The sequence below is a fragment of the Homo sapiens genome, chromosome 14 (assembly GCF_000001405.40).
Source record: "Homo sapiens chromosome 14, GRCh38.p14 Primary Assembly".
Classification (NCBI taxonomy): Eukaryota; Metazoa; Chordata; class Mammalia; order Primates; family Hominidae; genus Homo; species Homo sapiens.
In genome coordinates, this window is record NC_000014.9 from 47,219,901 (window position 1) to 47,240,484 (window position 20,584).

The 20,584-nt window shown below is 35.1% G+C and overlaps 1 protein-coding gene across 10 annotated transcripts in view; it reads right to left on the reverse strand.

Annotated features, from left to right (window-relative positions):
- MDGA2 (MAM domain containing glycosylphosphatidylinositol anchor 2) overlaps window positions 1-20,584 on the reverse strand; it is an 835,983-nt gene that overhangs the window by 380,278 nt on the left and 435,121 nt on the right. Inside the window, exon 1 of one of the 10 annotated variants that reach the window (XM_047431050.1) lies at window positions 17,476-17,672. The exons of the other annotated variants lie outside the window; for them this stretch is intronic. The gene's annotated coding sequence lies outside the window, so the exon portion shown is untranslated. Of the gene's footprint in view, window positions 1-17,475; window positions 17,673-20,584 lie in introns of those variants that run through there. 10 annotated transcript variants of the gene reach the window in all.

Consider the following 20,584-nt stretch of genomic DNA (forward strand, 5'->3'; position numbering starts at 1 on the left):
GACTGGGAGTAAAAAGAGGATAGTGAAATATGTTATTTTCTTAAGTTTTATTTTAAATTCTTATTTATACTTAATTTACTTTACCAGAAGCAAATATTGTTTATTGTAAAGAAGTTTTAAAAATGAAACAATTCTCAAATGAAACATAGGAAATAGAAAAGTAGAAAATAGAAGTAGAAAGAAATGCAAATAATCACTTAGAAAATTTTTCCTCCCTTTTTATTCTCTACTTTTAAGAAATAAATACTGAAATAAAATATTTCTGAGTGGTAGAAAGACATAAATTTACACATTGGAAGAGTTTACCAAGTCACATGCCTAACTGATGAGAAAAGAAACCTCCATACATACTCCGATAAAAGTTGTGACCTCAAAGTCTACAAAGAAAATTGTTCAGGCTTCCAGGAAAAAGGGACAAACTTGTAATGTCACAGAGCCCAGTCACTCCCTAATGTTGTCTTTCCTTCTTCTTAAACCCCAAATTATTAATCGCCACATGGCTGCCCAGGATAAAGACATTTCCCAGCCATCCATTTAGCCACATTCTTGCTGTTTCAAGCAGAAATGTCCTTACAGGGAAGCAGCACTTCATGTTTTGCACAGTTTTGGTAGCTTCCATTTGAACAGTGGGCCGATTTGAAACAAAAATCAAGCACAGAGAAGTAGTAAAATAGAAGAAATCTGAAATCCTGACACCATGGAGTTATACCTACCTAACCTAAACTATTTATAGCCCTGGACTTCTATATGGGGAAAAATAAAATTTTTGTTTACTTGTTATTCAGATTTTTCTGTGACTGATAGCCAAACTCAATTCTAATTGATTTTCCTGGAGTGGTATGGAGGTCAGTTTGTCTTCAGCATTCTCATCTCCAACACGGAAAGCTCAAAAACAGTGGAATAACATCCACATTTACTGAAAAAGGTGAGGGAAAGGGCTATCTCCCAATATCCCATATCCATTCAAGAGCTCATTTGTGTGAAATAAAAATATTCAGTGATATGCAAACATTCATTAACCTCAGGGTTCAAATAGCCCCCCATGATGAAAATATTTGAAATAATACTCTAACTCCCAACTAACGAATTGTATCTGAGGTCTGGGATTGTGAGAAGATATAGAAAAGCATATTGTGGTGGGCAGTTAATAGATATTCATTTAATGAATAAGGAGGATTTCCTTGGGTTAGTATACAATTTAAATACTAAATAAAGTTTTTTAAAACCAAAAGGACATAGAATAAGAAGATTTGTAATAACCTAGCAAAACCTAGAAGTTTGGGTGGGAATGTAATGCAAAGCAGAGGTAACATTGTAGGGATGGAAGGAAAGGAAAGGAGAGAAAAAAGTTACTCTGGAATCTTAAACCTTGGGATAGTTGAAAGGGGAAAATGTGTCCCTGTGGGTGAAACAGATCTTGTTTATACATTTTAAAAAGCATAAATGTCAATTAAAGTATCACAAAAAAATCAGTTTCATTAATGGAAGGAAAAATGAGATAAAGAGGGCCGGGCACGGTGGCTCACGCCTGTAATCCCGGCACTTTGGGAGGCCGAGGCAGGCGGATCACGAGGTCAGGAGATCGAGACCATCCTGGCTAACATGGTGAAACCCTGTCTCTACTAAAAATACAAAAAATTAGCCGGGAGTGGTGGCAGGCGCCTATAGTCCCAGCTATTTGGGAGGCTGAGACAGGAGAATGGCGTGAACCCAGGAGGCAGAGCTTGCAGTGAGCAGAGTTTGCACCACTGCACTCCAGGCGGGGTGACAGAGCGAGACTCTATCTCAAAAAAAAAAAAAAAAGAGATTACGGGAAGTGAGTGGAAAAAATAGAAACTTGGTAAAATGATGAGAAAAATAGGGCAAAGGTAAAAGAAAAATGTATAATTTAAAATAAATATACATTTAATTTTTATTTTATTTTTAATTGGCAAATATATATATGTGTGTATATATATTTGGGGTACGATGTGATGTTTTAATATAAGTTTACATTGTGGAATGATTAAATCAAGCCCATTGACAATTTCATCTCCTCGAATTTTTTTTGTGGTGAAACATTTAAAACCTACTCTTTTATTAATTTTGAAACCAGTTAACAGTACATTATTATTAACTAGAGTCACCATTCTATGCAATAGACCACTATACAGTAAGATACAACACTTATATCAGTCATAGACTAGATGTGAATAGATTGAATTTATCCACTAAAAGAGCCTACTAGACTGAATTTAAAAGTTAAAACAAGCTTGCGTACAGTTAACATCTAATAAAAATAAATGATTGGAACAATAGAAAATTGGAAGCCAAGATGGGAAAAGAAGGCATGGATAAAGTTGTAATGGAATTATGTAAACTAAAATCAATCAACCAATTAGGAGTGATAATATTTATATATAATAAGATTAAATTAATAATAAATTTGCAGTTAAAAACTAACAGGGAGAGAAAGACATCACTTTTTGTAATATTAAAAGTCAAAAGCATAAATATATTACTTGTGATTGGTATTCAGTAAAGTACAGAGCCACTAAAGACAAAAAGCAAACAAAATTAAAAAGGGAAGAATTTGACAAACACGCAATTGCAGTAGAAAGTTACAATACAGCTTTCTGAGATTCAGGCAGTTCTTGATAGTGCAACTTTTTAAGTTAAGAGGAAATACAGGACAAACTAAAAAAATACAATAAACATATAAGACTAATAAATATACAGAAAGTCATCTATCCACAAGGTAATTTTTTTCTTATGTCCATTAAATATTTACAAAAATTGATCATGTAGTTGATAGCAAAGTAAACCTTCACTAATCAAAAATTAGAGGTAGGACAGGCATGCTATTGAAACTTAGTTCAATACAGCTATAAATAAATTATCAAAAGATGACTAATACATGGAAACCTTTATTCACATTGTTATTGTTCAAAGAGAAAATTAAAAGGAAAATTGCTAAGTATCCAGAAGCCGATGAATAGAAAACCATTTCATACTAAAATCCATGAATACAGTTGTACGAGTCTGTTTTCACGCTGCCTGTAAAGACATACCTGAGACTGGGAAGAAAAAGAGTTTTAATTGGACTTACTGTTCCAAATGGCTGGCAAGGCCTCAGAATCATGGCAGGAGGTAAAAGGCACTTCTTACATGGTGGTGGCAAGAGAAAATGAGAAAGAAGCAAAAGCGGAAACACCTGATAAACCCGTCAGATCTTGTGAGACTTATTCACTACCACAAGAATAACATGGGAAAGATCGGATCCCATGTTTAAATTACCTTCCCCTGGGTCCCTCCTAGAACATGTGGGAATTCCGGTAGATAAAATTCAAGTTAAGGTGGGTGGGAACACAACCAAACCATATCAACAGTGAAAAGAATACACACAGGAAAATATAAACCTTAAGTACCCTCTACATATTAAGGAATGAATGAATGAATGAATAAAAAACTCATCTGAATTTATTTTAACTTAATTCAGTACTCATCAGCATTTATTTTAATTTAATGTTGGTTTGGGCTGTATCGTAAACTACTGCTTAAGATTGTTTAGGAGAGAGGAACAGGCAAAAAGCAGCTGCTACTTGTTTTTTACAGAAGGTTCTAGAAGCTGCCTCATGACACTGCTTATATGATATGGTTATTCTTCCTTAGTTACAAGAAAGGCTAGGAAATATACTCTTTACTCTGAATAGCACCTTCTTCCTATCCCCCAGCTAAAATTTGATAGTTACTTAACTCTGGAAAAACAGAAGAGTGGATGTTTCGGACAACCCCTGGTTTCACAATGTGAATAAAATACATCCAGATTTCAGATATGCTATTGTATTAGTCCGTTCTCATGCTGCTATGAAGAAATACCCAAGACTAGGTAATTTATAAAGGAAACAGGTTTAACTGACTCACAGTTCTACATGGCTGAGGAAGCCTCAAGAAAATTACAATCATGGGGGAAGGGGAAGCAAAAACATCCTTTTTCACATGGCGGCAGGAGAGAGAAGTGCCAAGCAAAGCTGGAAAAGCCCCTTAAAAAACAATCAGATCTTATGAGGATTCACTATCATGAGAACAGCATGGGGGTAACCACCCCCATGATTCAATTATCTCTCACTGGATCCCTTCTACCACACACGGGGATTGTGGGAGCTACAATTCAAGATGAGATTTGAGTGGGGACACAGACAAACCATATCAGCTATATTATTACATTTGTGTTTAAATCCTCTTACAATTTAACATTAAACTCATTTCTGTAAAAATAACATTAACAGAAAAAGAATGATACTAGAGTTTAGGAAATACTTTTCTTGGTAACTCTCTTCCTAATCTGAAGAAACAACATGGAGATTCTCTTATTTCAGGCCTATTCAATTCCCAATAGAGTCTGATATAGATATAGATATAGATATAGATATAGATATAGATATAGATATTTCCTGAAACATCATTGCTTTTACATAGCCTTAAATTAAATCTGTATTGACTGAGATAATCTTAGGAAAATATTAAAAACCTGAAGCATAGATAGACTTGGCTGAATCCAAAAAGTATATTGTGTAGATGCAACAAACTCAATAAATACTTTGACCTGAGACTTCTAGGTTGCCCCATTTAATTAATGTCTAGTGAATGAGGATTTGTACACTGAAGCTCCTTTCTATTGTTTGCCAAGGAGTTCAGCCAGATGTACTCATGTCAATGTGAGCATTGTCCCAGCATTATTTGTACTCTGAAGGAAGATCCTTTAGCATTAAAAGAATCCTTGAGAAAAAAATTACATAAACATCACCTGATCTGCTATAATTATTGGGATGATCTGCCACCAGAGCCTTGGGAACTAAACCTAAAAAGGTTACAGAGTGCCAGCCTGCAAGAATATTAAGAACTATCAATGGTACGTAATTATTAATAGGCAGAGTTTATTAGAGTTTTCAAAATAAAAATTATCCTTTTGTCCTGCACTGATATCAGGGAAAATTACAGAGGAAATAGGTTCTCTTTGAATTACTTATTAGAATAAGTGGAATTCTGAATGGCACAGAACTCTAGAGCATACAGGTTCAATTTTTAATAAATTGTATCAGTCTACAATAATTATAGCAATATGTCACACTTATTTCTGAATCTGTTTTTATAAAAAAAGAACCACAATTTTCTAACAAAGCAACAAAATTTTAACCTTAACATTTCTCTGCAAATCAAAACCACAATGAGATACCATCTCACACCAGTTAGAATGGCAATCATTAAAAAGTCAGGAAACAACAGGTGCTGGAGAGGATGTGGAGAAATAGGAACACTTTTACACTGTTGGTGGGACTGTAAACTAGTTCAACCATTGTGGAAGTCAGTGTGGCGATCCTCAGGGATCTAGAACTAGAAATACCATTTGACCCAGCCATCCCACTACTGGGTATATACCCAAAGGACTATAAATCATGCTGCTATAAAGACACATGCACACGTATGTTTATTGCGGCACTATTCACAATAGCAAAGACTTGGAACCAACCCAAATGTCCAACAATGATAGACTGGATTAAGAAAATGTGGCACATAGACACCACGGAATACTATGCAGCCATAAAAAAGGATGAGTTCATGTCCTTTGTAGGGACATGGATGAAATTGGAAATCATCATTCTCAGTAAACTATCGCCAAGGACAAAAAACCAAACACCGCATGTTCTCACTCATAGGTGGGAATTGAACAATGAGAACACGTGGACACAGGAAGGGGAACATCACACTCTGGGGACTGTTGTGGGGTGGGGGGAGTGGGGAGGGATAGCATTAGGAGATATACCTAATGCTAAATGACGAGTTAATGGGTGCAGCGCACCAGCATGGCACATGTATACATATGTAACTAACCAGCACATTGTGCACATGTACCCTAAAACTTAAAGTGTAATAATAATAAATAAAAAAAAACCATTTCTCTACTCAATGCATAAGAACCCATTTTTCTAGTATATCCAGAATATTAGGGACCATGATTACTATTACTATTACCACCACCACTACTACTACTAAGATGCAATTTAAAATATTTCTGCAAGATATATGCAGATAAGAAGCTCATGGCAGTAATAGAAAAAGGGAGCCTGGCCGGGAGCAGTGGCTCACGCCTGTTAACTCCAGCCCTTGGGGAGGCCGAGGCAGAAGGATGGATTGAAGCCAGGAGTTTGAGACCAGTCTGGGCAACATAGGGAGACCCCTATCTCTACAAAAAATAAAAATAAAAAAATTTCCTAGCTGCAGTGAGTTATGATGGCACCACTCCAGCCTGGGCAACAGAGTGAGACACTGTCTCACCATAAATAAATAAATAAATAAATAAATAAATAAATAAATAAATAAATGGGAGGAGTCTGAAGAACAAGGGATTCACAAAGTAGGTCTACTCACTATGCGGAAAACAGAATGATGAAGAGGGACTCATCACGGTAGACAAGTAAGAAACAGGTAAAATAGCGGGGCGAGGACATAATATTTCTGAACACTAGATGGGCCTTAAAGCAGATAGCAATAGGTTTTCCGATCCTTTTTTCCCTTTGTCTTTTCTTTGAATTTAACCTTTGAGGAATTTATTCACCTCTGTGAATAAACAATCGGAGAAAACAGATAAACTTAGTACTTCTCTTAAACAGCATCAGACTTCCTATATGCATGTGGAGCACTACGATAGGGCCTGCTGGCACTATTTCACACTAGAGGTGACAGGAGGGTACATCTTGGTGCAAATGCTTATAAATATAAAATGCTGGAAATGAATGCAATCATCATAGAGAAGTTTGATTTTGTCGCACTGCCAAGACATTACTCTTGGGCCCCAAAACCACCATTATCAGAATTCGGTCTCTTTAAAAGTTTACAAAATGTTATTGTTCCATCCTCTGATTTTAATGCCACAACAAGCTTAGAAGGTAAGAAAAATTTTCCTCCCCATTTTACAGCTCCAGTCCTTCCATGACCGTGAGACTATGTGCTATTATATACTGGGATCCTTTCTGACTTGAAAGTTCTCCCTTTTTCCTTCATTTAGTATCTAGTTAACACCCTCCGGTCCTCCAGATATCATTTTTTTAGAAAGCTTTCCCTCTCTCATAAAGCTCTATTATGTCCTGCCCCCTTTGTTTCCATGGCAGTCTGAAATTCCCTCTGTGAGAGTTCTTATCACATGCTTTAGAAATCAGCTGTGTATATGTTGTAGGAGATAATAGGTGTTCTGTCTGATTCCCTTAGAGCCCTTTACCCTTCCTATATGTTACCTCACTAGGACTTTTTGTTTCTCATGAAATAAGGTACTAGGGATTCAGAGTTACTTGCACTCAGAGGGAAAGCCTGGGAAATCTTGGGAGTTTATTCCCTACCCCTGTGACTCTTAGCCGATGAATGATTATTGTGGGATATGAAAGCCCTGCTCCCGTGCCTCTAGATGGGATAGATTCTGCAGCATAATTTACACCCCAATTTATTTGCAGTGTCAGGCTGACGCTAACCTCGTGAAACCACATCCTGGCTCAGCTTCCTCCCTTTCCTCTCCTGCTTTCTTGCTCCATTATCAGTTTCTTCTAAGGGCATTTCCTTAATAAATCACTTGCACATGAATCCTCATCTCAAGCTCCATTTCTAAAGAATCAGTCTTAAAATATAATAATTTTGCCTTAACCAATGGTAAGTTCATTAAGGCAAGGACTATTCGTAAACTTGGTATCTCCAGCCCAAATAACTGAGCCTGAGACACAGTAATGATTAAAAAAAAAAATCATTGTTGCTTGAATTGTTTCCTGGCAATATAATTCTGCTGAGAATACAATTATGAATTAGACAAAATCTCACTCCACAATGCACCCAAAGTAGAATGAGTTTAGTCTATTTTGGTGGTTTTTACTTATCTCCTTGACTTCTGAACAGTTGACTGCCTTAAAGCCTCATCATTTTCTTTGTACATTCACTTCCTCAGTCACTTCATGGAGTACTTTAAATACCATTTATGTAATGATGGCTCCTAAATTAGTATTTGTAGTTCAGGCCTTTCCCTTGAATCCCAGACTTTTAGCCACCAAGTGCCTGCTCTCCATCGCCAACATAACACATCCAAAATGAACTCTTGATCTCCCCTCCAAACCAACTCTCCCAGTCTTTCCCATCTCGATTACTGGTAACTCCATCCTTCCAGTTATTTAAACCAAAACTTTACAGTCCACCTTGATGAAAAGAGAATGTTAATAAAAACACAACATACTAGTATTTATCTTAGTTATAAAAAAAAATACTGGATCTGTGATAGACTTTAAAACATGTTTCATAACTTGAAAAGTAGTAAAATAGTCATTTACTAAATTTCCTGTTTGTCAGGGATCCCCAAGACCCCATCAAGGTTCAATGATTCACAGAGGACTTTGTGGAACTCATTATACAGTCTCTGACTGATTGTTTCACTTACGATTTGTTTGACTTAATGATTTTTCTACTTGATTTTTGACTTTATGATGGTGTGAAAACAATACACATTCAGTAGAAACTATACTTCAAATTTTGATCTTTTCAATAAATTACAGTAGATACTCAACACTTTATTATAAAATAGGCTTTGTGTTAGATGATTTTGCCCAGTTGTATAATAATGTAACTGTTCTGAGCATCTTTAGCTAGCACATTAAGGTAGGCTAAGCTAAGCTACGATGTTCAGTAGGTTAGGTAAATTAATGCATTTTTTTCTGCTTACAATGGGTTTATTGGAATGTAACCTCATTGTAAGTCAAGAAGCATATGTATAGTAATATTCATGACTATGACATATTATAATGAAAGAAGGCAAAGCACAATCAGTAAAAGGAAAAGGTGCATTGGGCAAAGTTTGGTGAAAAAAGGATACAAGCTCCTGAGTCCTCTCCCTATGGAGTCACACAGGATATGTTTAATGTTGAATTATGACAACTCTTGTGAAATGCTGTCTAGCAGGGAAGTTCATTAGAAACTCAGTGCCCAAGATTTTTGCTGGGGGCTGGCCACTTAGGCACCCTCTGCCCAATATATCAAAATTCCAGTCTCCCAAAATTAAAGCAAATTTCCAGCATAAACTATATTGTTTGCAAAAAAAGAGAAAGAAATAGACATAGTGAGCCACTCTTATCAGCTGGAGAATGGTGGGACATTTCTTGAAGTCCAGATTCAGAGATGCCAGCCAAAGGCTAACCTGGCAAACAGGTATGGTATTTTCAAGCTTGCTAAATTAACTATTTTCTTTTTTTACACATATATAGTATACCGCATAAGCAGAAGTGTCATGTGGGAATTCTGAAAAAGCTCCTTAAAAGGAGCTTATCTTTCTAGCTTTTCTTCCTTATTCTCTGAAATTCAAGTGTGATAGCTGGGAATCCAGGATCCAATTTAAATTGTGGGCCTACCTCAAGAGAGAAGTCATGTGCTAAGAATGGGTCCCTGATGACACCATGAAGCCACTATACCATCTCAATAATCTCTATCACTAGACTGTTTTTCTGTGAGACAGAATTGATGCTTATCTTTAGTTATTATTTCTAAATTCAGAATTAGCAGGCAAACAATTTTTAATAAAAAATTACTTAATAAAAATACACAAATACATTTTTAAAATGTGAAGGCCCTATAAATAAAAGATCTGTTAATCAAATGCAAAATAATAAAAGTAATGCCCTTGAAGAAACAACTAAAAGTAACTAAAGAAATAAAGAAAACTGCATTCATTAGAAATGCTATATTTTAAAAATCTAAAAAAAAATATTGAGTAGCAGCTCATGAGAGAAAAAATAAACTATTCATTAAAAAAAAAATTAAACTGGGCCTTTAATGGCCTAAAACAGGAAATCACAGCTGAATCATCAGTATGTCATTTTTATGTAGGTAAAGATGCTATAATGACATACCATATATTCCAAGCCCTTTTTTGTAATGAGAGTTAATAAATACAGGAGGATATTCCAGTTGGCTGTAATGTTTTTCCCATAGCTTCAAAAGGTTTCCCTGATGTAAATTTGGCACTTTTACACTTAATAATCAATATTGATTTATCACAAATTTTACAAATGGAAGATTTTTTTTAAGTGTTGCTGTGGAAGAGCATTTCCATCTTTCCTTAAAAGTTTCTTATGGGAATTTCTTTCACCATTATTCTCAATCTTGTTGAAAATGAAGCAGAAATTCCTTTAATGATTTTTTATAATAGAATATAATCTAAATTAACAGTATTGCAAACACTGCAGAGTATTAGAAATGTAATAAAAATAAATTGCTCTGTTCCAGTGTGCTCTACTACAGTCATATTTACATCTATTCATAAGGTAACCAAATGAACTCCTGCTATTTAAGGGATTAAACACCAACAAAATTATACAACAGCACAATTATAGAAAAATGGGATGCTTCCAAGGCATATAGGTTTGACAGAGATGTTTGTAATTACAGTATTCAAGTATTCTAGCAGGTAAATTTAGCCAAACTATACCAAATACATAATACAGTGCAATTCTAACAGTGTTTTCTAATAATTCATCTAAAATCCCCCCCAAAACAAGTTAAATTAAAATGGCTTAAGGAATATTATAGAGTGAAACATCTGCCCCTCTGCATTTTTCCAGGCATCTGAAACTGGAAAGAGAAAATTAACATCTCCAATTCCTATCGGTACATTTTCAATCTTATGGACAAATTTTTACCTCATATTTTGCCACTATAATATTTGAACGACTTTTAGAAAAATAGGAACAAGAACAACAACACATTATATGGGTACCTTGCAACACTTGGAGATGTAAATGACCTTTACATCTGTCAGTTTACAATTTAAACTCCATTCAACATCCAGGTGATTGAAAGCTATCAATAAGATATGCGAAACTAAACTGAGGCATAAGAAACAATATACATTAAAGAGGACCATTTTAAATGTTCATGTAAGTAGCCCAATTTAGGACCAATGAATCAGAGAGCATTAACAGTACACTATTCCTACACACATTTGAAATATTTCAACCCACTAGATTAATGTAGGGTTAAATATTGCAAGGATTTATATTTACCTTCTTTGGATTTTGAATAAAGCTTAAAAAGATAAGAAATGTAAACTAATTTTGTGCTCGATTTTCTACTGGGGATTTTTCAATAATCGTCTTCATGTAAACCCCAGCAGTAAATATATTGTAGTCTTCAATTTGCAGATGACTAAATTGAGATTCAAAAATATTAACTAACTTTCCTACTACTGCACAATTAGTAAATAGTGCTTCCAGGGTTCCAACAAGCATCTGTATTGACTGTTTTTCTACTGAAAGTCACACATATTTATTAAAGACTTATTCGGCCAAATTATTTATTAATGCATCTCATTTAACCCTCCTAAGAGTCACATTAACTAAGTACTAGATCCTAAATTTACAGATGAGGAATCTGATGCATCAGAAAGGAAAATGATTTTCTCAGATCCCAAAGTAGTACATGAACAAGCTAGGATGGAAGTCCTACACCATCTGAGTCCAGAGCCTGTGCTCAATCTCACTTTGATGTTAAGAGACATTGACTCCAGTAGCTTTAATTTAGGTAGATCAGGAAACCTTTCTCCAAGAACAAGTGAAAATGGAAGGCTGCTGTAACTCTTGGTAAAGTGAGCACACATTATTAAATTTTACTCAGCCATTGTAAAGTTTCCTATACATATTATATTTCTACCAGATTTTTTTTCCTAATTGAAATAGCAATGAAGAATAAAACACAAAGTTATCCTATAATAACACTACCTGGGTTTCTTGGAACTGAATGTTCCTGGTACGGAAAAAATAAGAAAAAGAAAAAAAAATTGAACCTTCGTGTTGGAAAAAAAAAAAAGGGAGAAGATGGAGAATTCAAAAGTTAAAATAAAAAAGGTCTGAGAATCTTCTGAAAACAGAGTGTTCTTCTCCACAAACAGCAGGGAAATGATAGGATATAATTGTTAACATACTGGCAGCTTCCAGACATATGTCTTGAGTAGCAAATTAGATATTTTGACTTTTGTACAAAGATGGTAAGATCAAATGGGTTATGGGGGTAGATGGATAGGAAAGTTCTCCATATGATTGCCCCATATGACCACAGGATACAGTTTCCTGGACACTCATCATCTCATTCCACTTTTGACTAGAAAGTCTTCTTTCAATTCAGGGGCCAGAAAGCTAAAATCTATGTTTACCAGACTCCCTTGCTCTAAGCTTGCAGACAGAGTTTGGGTTATATCATGAAGAATTCAGAACCAGATTAAGTGGGAAGAGATGTGCTTTGTAAAGCATCAGTTTTTGTTGGTGCAAATCACAGTATACATAGTCAAGAAACAGATCCAACAGTTTTAGGGCAGGCTTCTTAATCCTTTGATTATAACTAAGGTACATTTTTCTTGGACCTTGGTAGGGAGAGTTACTTTGGATTCTAACAGAAGAAGCAGTTCTCTTGGTGGGCAAGTGCTGTGATATTATTCTGTATGTTATTCTTGCAGGCATAGCCTTAGGACATTTCTCTGCAGACTTTATGTTTTGTAAGGAATTAATTACCTAGAGTAATCCACTTGTGTTTAAACAAGCTAAATGAATTCTATTGTCTGCAATTGAACCCTGACTGATAAACCTTTTCTCCCTTCACTCTCCACCAACCTCAATGAGGTTCACCTTGAAAGCCAGGCCAAAGAAAGTGAAGTGTAAAGTCAGTACTACTATGCCACCTCTACAGCCCCCACTCTCCAAAAGTATGCTCCCTCCAGGGAATTACCTGTGGTACCTATAAAAGAAAACCGCAGCTTTATTCCAAAATGATAAATCAACACCATAGACTCTAACTGCCCAGTGAAATTTATTTGTTGACAGATACTCTTAGCTGCCTAAGTATTATCTGTAAACCCATGAGTTTAAATGATGGTTTTCAATTCTATAATTTTAATGACAGAAAGAGGAATGATGGAAAATAGGAGGGCATTGGTAACTAAAGAGAGAAGTGGCACCATCAACAGAGTGTGAACAATCAGAAGTTACGTTCTGCTAAATGAAAACATTACTTGGTACTATTTTAAACATGCAGAAGCTACTCTGCGTAATTCATAAAGACTTTAATGTGCCTTCAACTGAAAGTAACTGCTATTATAAAAGAGTTTCACACTCAGTATTTAAATTATCAGTGTACTTACACTTTAATAAATAACTTTATAAAGTTTAAAACTAAAAGTTTACTGCTTGATAGTAAACTATGTCACCAGTTCATCTATCCATGTAAAGATAAAACCAATATCTGCAAAAACCCATGAATACTTAGTTTCATCCTGACATAAATGAAGATATATTTCACAATATTTACAATCATTAGACCTTATAACTGAGAGAACTGCATATAAAACACTAAACTATATGTTAGGTAAAATATAAATAAAATTCTTATTACAAAACCGATATATTAAAATCTATGTCAAAATTACAATGCGTATGATAAAGATTTGGTCGTCTCTCCTTACGCGCTTAGTTTTCAAGCTAGCAATTATGTGAACATATATTCAACTTGCATCAGTGTACTGTCCTTGATTTCTTAAAAATCCAAATTTGTACTTTAGCCTTGGTTGTCATTTTCTTAAGGATATCTCATTGCTTTGAATACTCTTCATGTGATATGTAGTATGAGTAAGGTGGGTCATTAAAGCAAGATGGCAGAGGGAGAATAAAAATGAGGAATTACTGGTCCTAAAATTCAAAGAAAAAGATGTTACTATAGAAAATTTTACGCAAAGGGCGGGAAAACAACATTTTGTTACAGTTTATAAAAGAAACCATGCTATGTGGTTAACTAAAAGGCAAAGTATTGACCTGATAGTATATTAGACTGTTTCAATTCAAACCTACATTTAGACATTTCTGAGAACATTTCACTCCCACCACAAGGACTGGGGAGAGAGAACTCAAACCTTTAAAAGTTATGAATTAGAACCCCTACTAATGGATCTCTCTATTAGCCTCACAACTTGCACTCAGGTCCTCTAAGAAAATAGGTGACACAATTGAAACTATTCAGCCTGTTTGTTGCCTCCTGAACTATTGAGGGTAACCCTTAAAATGTTTTCGTCTACCTGGCTAGTTCAAATTAAAAACAGCAAAATATCTTTTTTAAATATTTATTTTTCTTGTCACTGAACTTACTTTTTACATTCAGATAATAAGACCGACAATCACATAGCAATAAAAATAAAATTACCAGACACAGTAACTTAATATTGTCTTAATAATATATGTGTGTGCATATATGCTATAAATACTTATATCATTAAATTATAAATATTAAATGTAAATATTCATATTATATATTATATAAATGCATATATGTAGATATATGTGAAACCATAATCATAAGTCATCTAGCATAATAACAAACCCTCTAGTATACAAAATACCATAAGGTAAATTATAGACACCGTTTATCAATTATCAATTAAGGTTTGGACATATCTGAAATTTTGGTTTATCATAGCAATTTTCACATACTGTATTCCTTAAGTAAAGGAAATGATAAAAACCTAGGATCTCAGTATTCCGAATGCACATCTACCACTGCAGCTTCTATACTTGATTCCCAAGAAGTCCTGGGATATTAAATATGTTCAAATATCAATTTCTCTGGCAAGAGTACATGTTAAAGATACAACACCAAGAGGAAATAAATACATATTAAACTTATCAGGCCACAGGAAATGACATACATTCCAAGACGCTACTGTGGCACTTCATGATAAGGATTTTTGCCTCACCTAATACATTTATACATTCATTATTTTAGGTAACAGTCTCACAGCAACTCTCATTACAAAATGAATACAATACACATAAGACTTCCAACAAATAGCAGATGCTAGAGTTCATAGAAAGGCATTGTATTATAAAAATGTATTTTTATCCTTCCCTAATATTCTCTGATGGAAGTATTTACTTAATTTTGTCACTTCAGTCAATTACGGTATATTTACAAAGCTGGCTTGTCTTTTATTAAGAAATTAGTGTTCATATGTGTAACAATTTGAACACGTAATTATGATATCTAATTATATAATTAGAGTATGTTGAAATGATCAAAATCTTCATTATCTTATTGATTTTAAAAGAGTGTGAGATATTTCTTAAGCATCTCAAGCATCACTTACAATATTGTCTTCCAAATTGCTTACTTTCCAAAGTTAATAAGACTTGAAAGACAAAGAGAAGCTAATGACAGAAGTCACGTATCCTACTGGGTCATAAAACAATTTTTGCATATCACAACCTATGACATATCAAAATGCCTATTAGTAATAGCTCATGATTCTTTGGTTCAATCATTCAATTTATTAATTTATAATACATTTATTACTTAAAAGTTTTGACTGGGAAGAAATTTTCTTAGTCCTGGAATTATGATACAAAAAAGTTTCAGTGTCTTTTGAAGGAGGAGGTTTTATTGTTTTTGCTTTTTTAGAAACTCATCCTCGAAAGAATAATGTGAACAACTAATGGCAATTCAGACAGTGTAGGCAGAGGGGATCTTAAAAACCTTTCTGTTCCTCACAATCTTTGCTAAATGCGTAGATTAATAACAGTTATCTTAGTCTGAATCCTTTAAAAAGACCAGAGCCTGAAGCAAGGATTAGAGTACTGACATTTTCTTTGAGAGGTGCAAGCTCAGGAAATGAAGATGAGAGAAGAAAAGGGGATGGACAATCTTGTGGCAAGGAAAAATGTGAGGAAATGCAAAGGATGTGTTGTTCGTGATATGCCTTTCTTCTGCATACCAGATTATCTGGAAGGTTTGCAAAGGGAAAACATACTTCCATTGCCATTCCCTGATGGGAGAAATAATAATAAATTATCTGTCTTATCCCTTCCTGTTCCTGTTTCCCATATATCTAGACTCATGCCGAGAGGAACTAACTTTCCCACATGGCTGAGCTTCATTAGCTGACCCCAGTGGCTGCTCAGGAAGCCATATCTGAAGGCTAAAATTGGCCTTGGGAATTAAACACTTTACCAATGCCAATGCGTGGGTCCAAGGGTCAAGAAGCAGAGAGTCAAAGGTATGGTTAGAGAAAATGTGTTACAAGCAAAAAACACTGTGGGGCCTGTAATCCCAGCACTTTGGAAGACCGAGGTGGGCGGATCACGAGGTCAGGAGATCGAGACCATTTTGGCTAACAAGGTGAAACCCCGTCTCTACTAAAAATACAAAAATTAGCCGGGCATAGTGGCGGGCGCCTGTAGTCCCAGCTGCTCAGGAGGCTGAGGCAAGAGAATGGCGTCAACCCAGGAGGCGGAGCTTGCAGTGAGCCGAGATTGGGCCACTGTACACCAGCCTGGGTGACAGAGCGAGACTCCGCCTCAAAAAAAAAAAAAAAAAAAAAAACAACACTGTGGGGAGGCAAGAGTGTTATTACAAGATACTTTTCCAAGACCAAAGCTGAAGGATACACTTAAGCCTAGTAGGAAATGTGTAGGAGCAGTTGGTGTTTGAGGAAAGTCATGAGAGGTAACATAAAGAGACTGAGATTCACATGCTATTTCTGTGATAAAGAAATGTTAAGTAGGCAGGATGCTTTCTTCGAATGACCTTTTAAAACAAAACAAAAACAAAAACAAAAAACCTGATTTTGCTAGTGATGTCTTCTCAAATGCTTCCCTAGTTTCTGGGCAAAGATAGATGAAGCAATGATAGCATCCCATAAGTGATTGCTAAATAAATAAAGAACCATTTCAGTGCCTTCTGAGAGCAGATAAAAGGATGCTGTGTCTTTATACATTAGCAAAGTATTAAAATACCCAATAATCAACTAGTTTGAAAATGTCCAAAATAAGTTAACATAAAATATCAGCTTTTAGATTTTGGAAAAGTTTATTTTCAAGAAGCTTTTTCCTGAACTGGGCCATAAACTATAAAGAAAAGTCTCCATGAAAATGCACTCTAACTTTGCTTGCAAAATAAGCCAAGCTGTTAGAAACCTTGTAAGGCACCAATTTAATATCTCCCTCTGACCCAGTTCTTAGAAATGTTATCAAGTTACCTATTAATATAACTTACTAGTGCAAATACCCTGAATGTGGAGTACTTATAATATTCAGGTTCCTATAAAAATAGCTATTGCCTCCCCAAAAGTAGAGCAAGTCTTCCCTATCCCACAACCTAAATCTAATTTGACAGACATTATTAATTCAGATTAATAATGCCAGAGAATCTAGTGCATTAAAAAAGAAAGCCTTGCTAAGGAAAAAAATCATTTATTGGGCAGGAACCAAGAAGGTAAGGTCCTAAAATCTAAAACACCTTAGTTCCCTGACTTAAAAAAAAAATTAAAATCACATTAAGCAAATTGGAGAACTCTAACTTCTAACATAATCAAATGATTTGCAACACTTATGAGCCGCATTTTACGCCCGGGTCTCCCAGGCCTTGCCCTTAATGCAAACTTACCTTTATACCTCTGAATTCACCTGAGACAATGCAGTAGAAATGATTCTAAATAATGAGTAGGACTTTTAAACATAGTTTTACAGGTAAAAATGATGGCATATTTCTTCTCAGTCACTGAAATGGGGCAAAATGGAAACAACAATCAAGATATTCTTTCTGGAATGGTCACAGATTGTCACTTAGCTGCACAAAAATATTAGAAATAAAATAATTGTTATACGAATATATCTGTTCGTAGTGGATGTCGAAGTGTACTGTCAAAAAGTAGCAAATTAAAACTCCATATCCATGTATATGGCATGCACCATTCACCCAGTTCCTCATATCGAAATTCTTGAATCACCTCCATATGCAGTCCCTCAACAAAATTCTCCACTCAAAATACATTTGATCTACTTTCTTCTACTACTCTAAATATTCATCTGCTTGCCCAAGTCACCATCATCTCTCCCTAGACACAAGGTCCACCTTCCATTCTTGACCCCTCTAATCTATGTCCCAAATTGCAGCCAGAGTGATCCTGTTAAAACACAAGTCACATTCTAACTGCTTAAATCCTCTTTTGGCTTCCCATTGCCCAGAAAATGGAACTCACTCCTGTTCACCAGGCCCTATATCCTTCCTCATATCTTGTCACTCACCCCCAGTCACTGAACTCAAGGCAAACCTACCTTCCTGAAAGACACCAAGAGTCCTCCTGCTTCAGAGCCTGTACTCTTTGCTGTCTCTCTTCTTTTAACTTCATGCAAGCCTCTGCCTAAATGTCATTTCATTGGAGTAGGCTTCCCTGAACACTCTATTAAAAATAGCAGTTTCTATTATTCCCAATCACCACATCTACTCCAATTTTCTTCAGCACACTTACCAATATCAGAAATCAGAACATATATGAATTTGTGTATTACCTGTTTTTCCCTAAAAAATATAACTTTCATGTGGGCTGAGATTGTGTAGATCTTGTTGATTGCTTTATCCCAGCACAGTGCCTCACACTTAGTAGGTGGTTAATACTCACCTCCCTTCTATGACATGCTGCTGTCTTTCTTTAGAATATTCTGGGTAAGCATTGACAAGCAGAAATTATCTCGGTAATGCCCCCATGTAATTCTAAGGGAAATCTGTACTCTAAGAAATTCAAGGTCTTACGTGCTTACAAAACAAAACAAAACAAAACCCAGATTACCTATTTAGGAATAATAAAAACATCAACATTATTAATTAAAATGTTTGTGTTATAAATTACCCTATGGACCGCTCAAAAAAAATGTGGAAATGCCATGTTCCCAGACGGGCATTTACTCAGAGAATAAGATTTATGAAAAGACTTTAAAGCTTAGCAGTGTTAGGAAGAATAGAAAGTAAAAGTTCAGGAACAAAAAGGAGATATATTCATTAATTTCTCCACATATAATGATGTAAAAACAAAATAAAACAACCCAAAATACACTGTTTTTAGTAAAACTATGACTAATGCAGAGGACCCCAAATAATACAAAATGATTTATAATAATATTTTTTAAATTAATAGAAAGTAAGGATGAGCTAAGAGGTAGAAAGTTTAAAATGGGAAGAAATATCTCAATTTTTTGTTGTAAGTAAATTGTGATCGGCTCTGCAAGAATCTCTTTATTCTTTACCAAAAACTCCATTACTGGTGTTTATGTAGCTGGGTTTAGTTGTTCTCAGATAACTATCAAACGTAAATTATCTTCCACAAATTTGAGTGCTACTATCGCCATCATAAAGTTGTATTGAGGGCCTAATATGAACCTCATGCTAGCTTGGGGGAAACAAAACATATTATGTGACCCTGACGACCGTAACCTTTACGAAAGTCAAAATTTATTAAAAAAAAAAAAGGGCTCTGATAAGTGCTAAATTAAATTACGGACAAATTCTGTCACATTGCTTTAGTTTCCTGGACTAGTATCACTGAGTTGAAACATATCATTATTTTAATCATAAATATTTCACTATAGGCTTCTACTTTAACATGTCTAATATAAATTACTGTACATTGTGTAAAATAATTTATAAACTTTCTAAGGGATGAGAAAATCAGCCTTCTCAAAAAGATGTGTTTGCATTGCAAAAGGCAAGTAATATGCTTTGATCAATTTGATGTGAAACATAAAAAGCTTCTTTCATAGAAAACAGATACCAGGCATACAATTTTAATTGAAGAGAATTTTTGTTACTTCTTAATATTTCAAGGGAACACATACCAAAAGGAGCTGTAAGTCAGTTATTTTATTATTACCTTTGGCTATTTTACTATTACATTTCAATAAGATAATGAATTTTCCTTTGGGGAAAAAAAAGTTTTCAATGCTTAACAAATGAGATCATTCTAAATTAAATTATCTGCCTGAAAAGACACTATTTTAATAAATATTTGATTGAATAAAAGTTATTTTCCTCCACATACACAAATGTTATTGCATCCTTGCTTTTTGAAACAACGGGCTTTATATCAAAATTTTATATCTTTTTTTAGGCATACATTTTTTTCCCAGAGTTTAGTAGCAATCTTTTTCTCTATATATTTCAGTCCTTGAAACATATTGTGCACATTCAGTGTTATAACCTTGTCACTCAAAGAGCTGATACAACACAAAGTGATTTCACCAAAAATAATGGAAGGATAGACATTATTTTTGGTTAGAAACAGTTTTTGCTGTTTTTTTTTGAGACAGTCTTGCTCTGTTGCCCAGGCTGGAGTGCAGTGGCACGATCTCGGCTCCCTGCAACTTCTGCCTCCCTGGTTCAAGCGATTCTCCTGCCTCAGCCTCCTCAGTAGCTGGGATTACAGGCGTGCACCACCAATCCCAGCTAATTTTTGTATTTTTAGTAGAGATGGGGGTTTCACCATGTTGGTCAGGCTGGTCTTGAACTCCTGACCTCCTGATCCACCCACCTTGGCCTCCCAAAGTGCTGGGATCACAGGTGTGAGCCACCACGCCCAGCTAGAAACATTTTTTAAGAAGAAGAATATTGTGCTTGTCATGTTCAGTTTCTTGAACCGGGTTATAGGAGTGTGTTAAGTTATGAACATTCAATAAAACAGCAATCATAATAATAAAGAGTAACTAGTTTATTAAAAAGTTCA